An 8,316-nucleotide genomic window follows, 5' to 3' on the forward strand; every position below is an offset into this window, starting at 1 on the left:
CATCTCATTGGCTGGAGGGGCATCACGTGTGCATCTCTAAACCAATCACAGGCTAGATGCACGGTGGCCTGGCTCCTGCTTGGCTCTGGATGTGCATTTCCAGTGATGTGGGGCTTCCAGCGGCATCCATGTTCATCCACCTTGGGCTGCCCCTGCCTCACCCTCCCAGCTGAGTGGGAGCCTCTTTCTGGTCCAGAGCCTCCTGCTGGGCTGCTTGGTGACCGCCTGGCTTGGGCCACCTGGGCCCGCTGGTGGCGGTTTGCACAGCTGGGGCTGTGTAGTCCCCAGCGGCTGGCCAGACAGGCTGTGCCTGCTCTCACTGGACCCATGGGGTAACTGAGGCACAGGGCCGGGATCCAAACGCAGCACCGGGTCCACAGCCGGCGGTGTTGATGACTCCACTGAGCAGGTGGTTGGTCCCAGCTTGGAGTCGTCTGCGTCTGCCCCCTCCTCTGGGGAATCGGGGGTGATGGCATCACCCACACCCGTGTGGACGGTGTTGCAGGCTGTTACCTCACACGCCTCAATGTCCTGGTTCAGCCACCTTCTGAAGTGGATCCTCTGCCTTCCCATGTGTCGCAGATGAGGCAGTGAGGCACAGAGAGGTCAAAGGTGCCCACCCAAACAAACGCGGCTAGAGTTGAGGAGCCAGTGTCCGCAATCCAGGGTGACTGCATTCCGAGCACCACGCCGTCCACCTGTGCGGACGCGTCCGCGCTCTAGGGTGAGCTTCAGGATGGTGTCCAGGCCAGGCCTGTCCGTTATGTGTGGTTATGGCAAGTCTTTCCTAACTGTCCAGAGTTTTGATGGACTCAAGCTCTCTCAATATCAGGAACTTTAAAAAAGGAAAGAGTCCACCCAGGTCTGAATGTAGATGTTCCTGATGTGAGCAAAGAAAAAAGGAAACCCCAGGAGGGGAAGCTTATAATTTTCACCTCAGTGGCCAGGACCAGGGCAGTGTGGGCTGCGGAGGGTGACTGCAAGGCCTGGGGTCTCCAGGATGACTTAGGAGCCATAAAACTTCCTCCGCTCGGTTTCTGTCGTCACCGGTCTGCTTTGCTGCAGTGACAGGCAGTAAAACTGTTATCTTCAAAATGCCTTGTCTAAAAGGCAGCCAAGAAAGGAAAACCAGGGAAATGCATCCCATTCATGCTGATGTCAAAAGAAGAGGCGATTCCAGAAAAAAAGCCTTTGAAGGAGCAAGATAATGGAAACACAGCTTAACATGTGGTCCGGGACTTAGCATGGGAAAGGCGTCACTTTTCCAGAAGCATCTGGTTCAAAGTGTTGGTGTCATGTGAGAAGAACCAGCATAATACTGGACGGGGGTCTTGTGGGCAGGCTGTGAGGGGCTCTACATGACATGCTTGCTCCCTCATGCCTTACACTGCAGTGCTGAGTACCCTAAGACCTGAACCCAGAAATATCTGCATGTGGACCCAAAGGTATGGGTCAAAAGTGTGAAATGAAACAGTATTTTAAAGAATTAAAACTAGAAACAAAGATAATATCCATCAGCAGGGAATGGCTAAATAAATTCCAGCATATTCATACTGGAGAATAACATGCAGCCACTAAAAAGAATGGGAGAGCATCAGGGAAGTACAAGTTAAGACTTTATGAGGCCCTATCACATACCCAACAGAGTGACAGCACTCTAAAAAGGCTGATAATACCAAATGTGGTGAGGACGTGAAACAACTGGAACTTTCATACACTCCTGGAATGCGAAGTGATTCCATCATGTGGGAAAATAGGCAATTTCTGTTAAAGCTATATATACATCTCTTCATGATACAATCATTTCACCCTAAGCAAAGTTAGAAAAATCAGTGAAATGTCCAACAACAATTCACAGCGACTTCATTGATAACAAGCCAAAAACTTGAAGCAACTCAATTGTCTATCACTTGGCTAATGGAGAAATAATTGTAGTGTAATTCATCAATGGAATAGTATACAACAATAAAAAGAATAAGCAATAGAGACACATGACAGTATGGATGAATCTCACAGACATTATTTGAGCAAAAGAAGTCAGGCACAGTAGAGTACATACTACACACTTCCAATTATTAAACTTAAGAACCGGAAAAATCCAAACCATGATGCTAGAAATGAAAATAATGGTTTTCTCTGGGAGACAATATTGACTGGGAAGAATAATGATGGAAATGTTCTATATCTCGATATGAGCAGTGGTCACACAGTGTAAATATATCTAAAATTTATTGAGCTATACAATTGAGATTTGGGCATTTTGCCATATGTAAGTTATTCCTCAATTTTTTAAAAAAAGAAGACAAGGAAAGTTAATGATTAACTTTGATTTTTTTATTTTTTATTGTGCTTTTAGTACTCTACCAATAATGAAAAGGCATTACGTCTGTTTGAAAAACAAAGTATAAGTGTTTAAAGCTCTAAATTATAAGGTAAACCTATTTGTGTTCACATGAAAAAAATCCATGACACACTTTGACTGGAAAAAGAAAGTAGCAGAATGCCAGATACAGGAGAGTTCTGCTTTATATTAACATGAGAAAGACTTTGTTCCCATGAGAACAACAAGAGAAACTCAAACAAAATTAAAATTGTACTTTTCTAAAAGACTGGGGTGGGGGTCGTGGTCAGGCAGCAGCATGAAGAAAGCCTTGAGAACTGAATTCCAGAAAGAAACAAGCATAGGCAAGAAAGAGAGATGACAGCTCCCAGGCTTCCTACTGAGGTCTGAGGAGGATCGGCCTGCTGTGGATAAGAAACTTTATGGGGACAAAGTGCTGTCTGCTGAACTTTGGGTGGCAGTATGAACTGATGGGACAAATTGGAGTCTAGAAAAGCCACAAAGGCAAGGATAGAGCACATAACCTGAGCAATTCACCTTCCCCACTCCAAGTTTTGACATAAACATAGCAGTGGAGGAAGGGTGGCTAAGCAGAAATAAACCATAAGATCTCATACTTGCTGTGATTAATGGATTCCACACCCCTGCCTGAGTTGAAACTGCAACCAGCCCCCTCTAAGACCAAACACTGACAAGTCTGAAAAACTCTATCTCAGGAATTTGAAGTTGAGTAATCACAGGTTAAAGCTGCAATTTTTTTTTTTCTCAAGGAGATTCTAGGAGAAAGCTGAGTGATTGGCTTCTCACCCTCACTACATTCTGAGGAAAGGAAATGCATGTCTAAGGAACCAAAACAAAAATGCTTCAATCTTCATTATTCATTTATACACAATGTGCCAAACAACAAAAATATATAAAACATGCAAGTAAGTGAAAATGTATGGTTTATACTTAGAAGAAAACAAAATCTCTAGAAGGAGATGATTATCAGATGAACCAGTAATTGGGAAGAGAAAATACTAAAACAATTATTTCAAATGTGGGTGAACAAATGGTATATTTCAAAAGATGAATGTGAATACTAATAGACCATATGAAAGAAAAAAATCAATGGGTGGGCTTCAATTGTATAATGCAGAAGAAAGAATCACGAACTTGAAGGTCACTGGAAAGTATTCAAACTTTTTCCTCAAGACAAAGGAAAAAGATTTTTCAAAATATGAACAGAACTTCTGCAAAATGCGGGATTATAACAAGAAGTCTGAAATATAAGAATTTGGGATCTAAAAATGAGAGAGAGAAAATGGAAGACAAAAATATCTGAAGAATTAACAGTTTAGATAAAATGGATAAAAACCTTGAAAAACAGACCTTATCAAAACTAACCCAAGAATGAACAGAAAATCTGAAATAGAATTTATACTTAAAAACTTTCTAAAAAAGAAGACTTCTGATTCAAAACCTACAGACCAATATCCCTCGTGAGCATAAATTTAAAAATTAACAAAATGTTAGCAAATCAAACAACAATACATTAAAAGAGGTAATGTGTCATGACCAAGTGGAGTTTATTCCAGGAATGTAATTCAAAAATCAATAAAAATTTTTCACCACATTAATAGGTTAAAGGACAACATTCACAAGATCATCTAAATAAATTCATTTAAAACTTTGGGACAAAATTTAATATCTGTTCATAATAACAACTGTCAAGACACACGGAATAGACAGTGACATCTTCAACTTGTAAAATTACAGATAATACCATACTTTATAAGGAAATGCTGAATGTTTTCAACCCAAGATTGGGAACAGGGCAAGGATGTTGGCGTTTATTATGTCTATTCAATGTTTGTACTACCGAAGAGCAATAAGGCAAGAAAACTAAAATTCATAAAGATAGGAAAGGAAAATGTAGACCTATTTGTTCATAGAGAACATGATTGTGTACATAGAAAATCCTAAGTATCAACAACAACAAATTACTAGAGCTAGTAAGTGAATTAAGCAAGAACTCAGGATACAAAGTCAATATACAATCATCAAATGAATTTTTATGCACTAGCAAACAACAGTTGGAAAGCTGAAACCATTTAATGGAAAAAACACCATTAGTAGCATCAAAATAAAATAATATTACAATATTTAGGATTAACTTTAATGAAAGATGCACAAGAACTGTTCACAGAAAACTATAAAACATTATTGAGAAAAATTCAAGACTTAAATGAAGATATGTTCATGTTCATGGACTGGAAGGGTACATACTGTTAAGATGTCAATTCTCCCCTTTTCTTTTTTTCTTTTTTGAGACAGAGTTTTACTCTGTCAGCCAGGCTGGAGTGCAGCTCACTGCAACTTCTGCCTCCCAGGTTCAAGCGATTCTCATGCCTCAGCCTCCCGAGTAGCTGGGACTACAGGCACACACCACCATGCCTGGCTAATTTTTGTATTTTTAGTAGAGATGGGGTTTCGCCATGTTGGCCTGGCTGGTCTCGAACTCCTTGCCTCAAGTGATCTGCCCGCCTTGGCCTCCCAAAGTTCTAGGATTATAGGTGTGAGCCACCGTACCTGGCCCCTCCCAAAATTAATATACAGATTCAATGCAATCTCAATCAAAATCACAGCCAGCTTTTTAAGAACAGAAAGTCACAAGTTGATTCTAAAATTTACATGAAAATGCAAAGGACCTAGTAGACAAGAATTTTTGGAAAAGAATAACAAAATCAAAGATTTTACACTACCTGAATTCAGAACTTAGTAAAGCACTGGTAATTATGAGAGTGTAGTATTGGTGTAAAGGCAGATAAATAGATCAGTGGAACAGAATGTAGTTCAAAATGGACCAACACTTACATAGCCAGTTTATTTTCAACTAAGCCACCAAAGCAATTCAATGGGGAAAAGAAAGTCTTTTCAACAGACTGTGCTTGAAAAACTGGTTAACTATTAGGGACAAATATTTATCTTGATGCCTGCCTCACAACATACATAAAAAATTAATTCAAGCTGGCACAGTGGTGCATTCCTGTAGTCCCAGATACTCGAGAGGCTGAGGCAAGAGGCTTCCTTGAGCCCAGGAATTTGAGTCCAGCCTAGGCAACATAGCAAGACACCATCTCTAAAAAAATTTTTTTTTAAGTTTTTTAGCTAAAAAGTTTTTCCCTCCTGTCTTGAACTTGCAAATTCAGCCCTAAATATGTAGTGTTTGGCATGTGGCTTCCAGGCCAGATGTGACCCCAGTGAGGTTATCACAGAGCTCAGGGAACATTTTCAAAACATAATCCAGAATCTGACATCTCTTATAAACAGCTTTCATTTAAGGGGAATCTGCTGGATAGAGGACGGTTTGGCCTGCCAGGATTTTTGTAAGAGATTTGGTCTCTTCCTTTGCTCCGAGCTTTCTCCAGCTATGTTGGCATTAACCTCAGTTGGGCCACAGAACCAGTGTTACATACCCAGAGAAGCAACTAGGTCAATGGGGCAGCTGAAACCCACACATCAAAAGGGTTAAGTCAGTGCTTTTTATGTGAATTAATTGTCTTTTTGGAGCCCTTCTTCAAAATTGTTTTTTTAATCCACTGTGTAACACCCTGCCTTTAAGCAATAATGAAGCAAACAGGCATTATTCATAGCAGCAACCAAAGTCCACTAGGAGACTGCCATTCACCCCAGTGCTGGAGGAACCCAGCTGACCCCCACAACAGCAAATAGTAAAACCTCACCCTCATTCTTCAGCACTTTCTCAGGGATTTCTGAGGAACATTACTGGGACACTCTGGAATGAAATCACAAAGTAAGCCAGGGACTGAGCATCTGGCTGTCTTCCTTCTATAAATCTCACTGCCAGAAAAATAAAGGAGGTAGCTAAAACTGCAACCCAATCCACCTGTGGTGAAAGTAGAGACCTGACCCATCTCCCAACCAGTGATGCACTCAGGGCTGTAAATACTTGTGGGGAAGCTAATCTCTCCCCCATCTCCTCTCTCAGCCCCTGACAATTTGGTATCTGGGTGGCTTTAGTTTAGTTGTTTGCAGTCCACATCACCAGCCTCAACCCCCTATCAGCAAGCTCGCACCAAAGCACCTGCCCTGCATCTACTATGTACAGACATCTCCATATGCCCCATAAAGATGATGATGATATCTTCATTTTACAAATGAGCAAAGTAAGACTGAGAGATATTGGGTCATTTGTTCAAGACTGCACAAAAATCAGTGATGATTTGGATTCAAATCCAGGCCTGCCCAGCTCCAAAGTCTGTTCTCTTTCAAACAAACACGTCATTCTCCCTGACACTCCATTATCAACAATGATTAAAAAAGAAAGACTCCATGACCTCATGAGTGTACAGCCAATTAGGGAAGAAAGAGCATCATTATGTGGTGAAGTCCCCTGGTTGCTCTCGCCATCCACATTATCTAAGACCACAGTTGTGGGAAGAGGGGCGGCACCACAGGAGAGCACTTAGTGAGTCGTCCAGGGGCCTCGGTTCTCATTCTGGCTCTGTGCCAACCTTAAGTGTGATCTCAAGGAGCTCACTCACTTTCCTTACCTCAGATATAAAGCAGAGTCCAAGTTTTAAGCAGAAAAAATAGCACCCAACCCCCTGTCCCCCCTCCACACACACTCATACATTAGAGTTTAACTACAGAACCTCAGGGATAAGGATGGAATAACCTGCAAAGGAACAATTAGATCAACAGCAGACTTCTCATCCAGATGAATAGAATCAAGAAAACAATGAAGAAATAGCTCCAACTACAACCTATTTTATACCCAGCTAAGGTTTTACTCAAGAGTGAAGGTATAATAAGAATAATTGAATGTGTCCTAAAAGAATGAACTGTTGTTTTAAACTGGACTTTAGAAAAACTATAGTGGGCTCAGAACAATGTCTCCAGGCAGCAGAGAGCTCTCAAAGCAAGAAAGGTCCTCAGGGCAAAAATAAAACCCAGGTCATTGTCAGCAAAATGTAGTCTCAGAGTAAAGATGAAGCCACACATCTGACACAAAATTATTGTTAAGATTTTTGGTAGCTGGAAGTTGGATTCTGCTGAAAAAAAAAAAACCTGAAATTTTGTTAATTTGGGAAGTAGACAGCGGGCAGAAATCTGATGGGCCTTGATAAGGCTACTGGTTAGAGTTTAAAGAGAAGTAATTAAAATGTTCTTGGAAGTGGAGATAAAGGGAGTTCTTGTTACATGGTGTGGAAGTTTGGCAACACTGTCACCTGAGGGAACATGGAAAATAGAAAATATTCCTAATAAACTGATGACCTAGCTAAGGCAATTTCTGGGCAGGGGGTGTTGAAGATGCTTCCTGGATTCTTTCAGCTGCCTGTAATAAAATTCAAGAGCAAAGAGGTGAACTGAGAAACTTTTCAATTTTCAAGTAAAATTTAGAGAAATTATAGAGGAACAGTCTGTCTTGCCAGAATATGATTCTCAAAGTAAAATCAAGCTTAAGGATAAAAATCAAATCCAGGTCACTGTTCAGATAACATGGTCTCAGAGTAATATAAAACCAAGGATAGGACTATTTTAAATAGGGTCTTAAGAGGTCCCTAGTTAAGACCTCTGCTGTGGTCTGAATGTGTTCCACAAAATTCATGTGTTGGCAAATTGGTCCCCAGTGCGGTGGTGCTGGGAGGTGGGGCCTGTTGGGAGGTGTTTAGGTCATGAGGGCTCTATCCTCATGAATGCATCTGTGTTGTAAAAAGGGCTTTGGGGAGTGGATTTCCCTTCCACTCTCCACCGTGTAAGGACACTGCACGAAGCCCTTCACCAGATTCTGGTGCCTTGATCATGGACTTCTCAGCCTCCAGAATTGTAGGAAATAAATTTCTGATCTTTATAAATTACAGTCTGTGGCATTTGTTATAGCAGCACAAAAGGACTAAAGACAGCCTCAGAAATATTTAAAGTAATGCCTCAAAGACCATTTCAAATAAGTGACTTTCTAAGGATCGTAC

The 8,316-nt window shown here is 41.1% G+C and overlaps 1 annotated feature.

Moving 5' to 3' along the window:
• Positions 268-767: an enhancer, noted in NCBI's record as "H3K4me1 hESC enhancer chr21:47442841-47443340 (GRCh37/hg19 assembly coordinates)". NCBI's record gives its function as "activates a minimal SCP1, AML or CMV promoter by ChIP-STARR-seq in primed H9 embryonic stem cells {active_cell/tissue: H9 hESC(primed)}" and the evidence as "EXISTENCE:reporter gene assay evidence [ECO:0000049][PMID:30033119]".

The sequence above is a fragment of the Homo sapiens genome, chromosome 21 (genome assembly GCF_000001405.40).
Source record: "Homo sapiens chromosome 21, GRCh38.p14 Primary Assembly".
NCBI classification, from domain to species: Eukaryota; Metazoa; Chordata; class Mammalia; order Primates; family Hominidae; genus Homo; species Homo sapiens.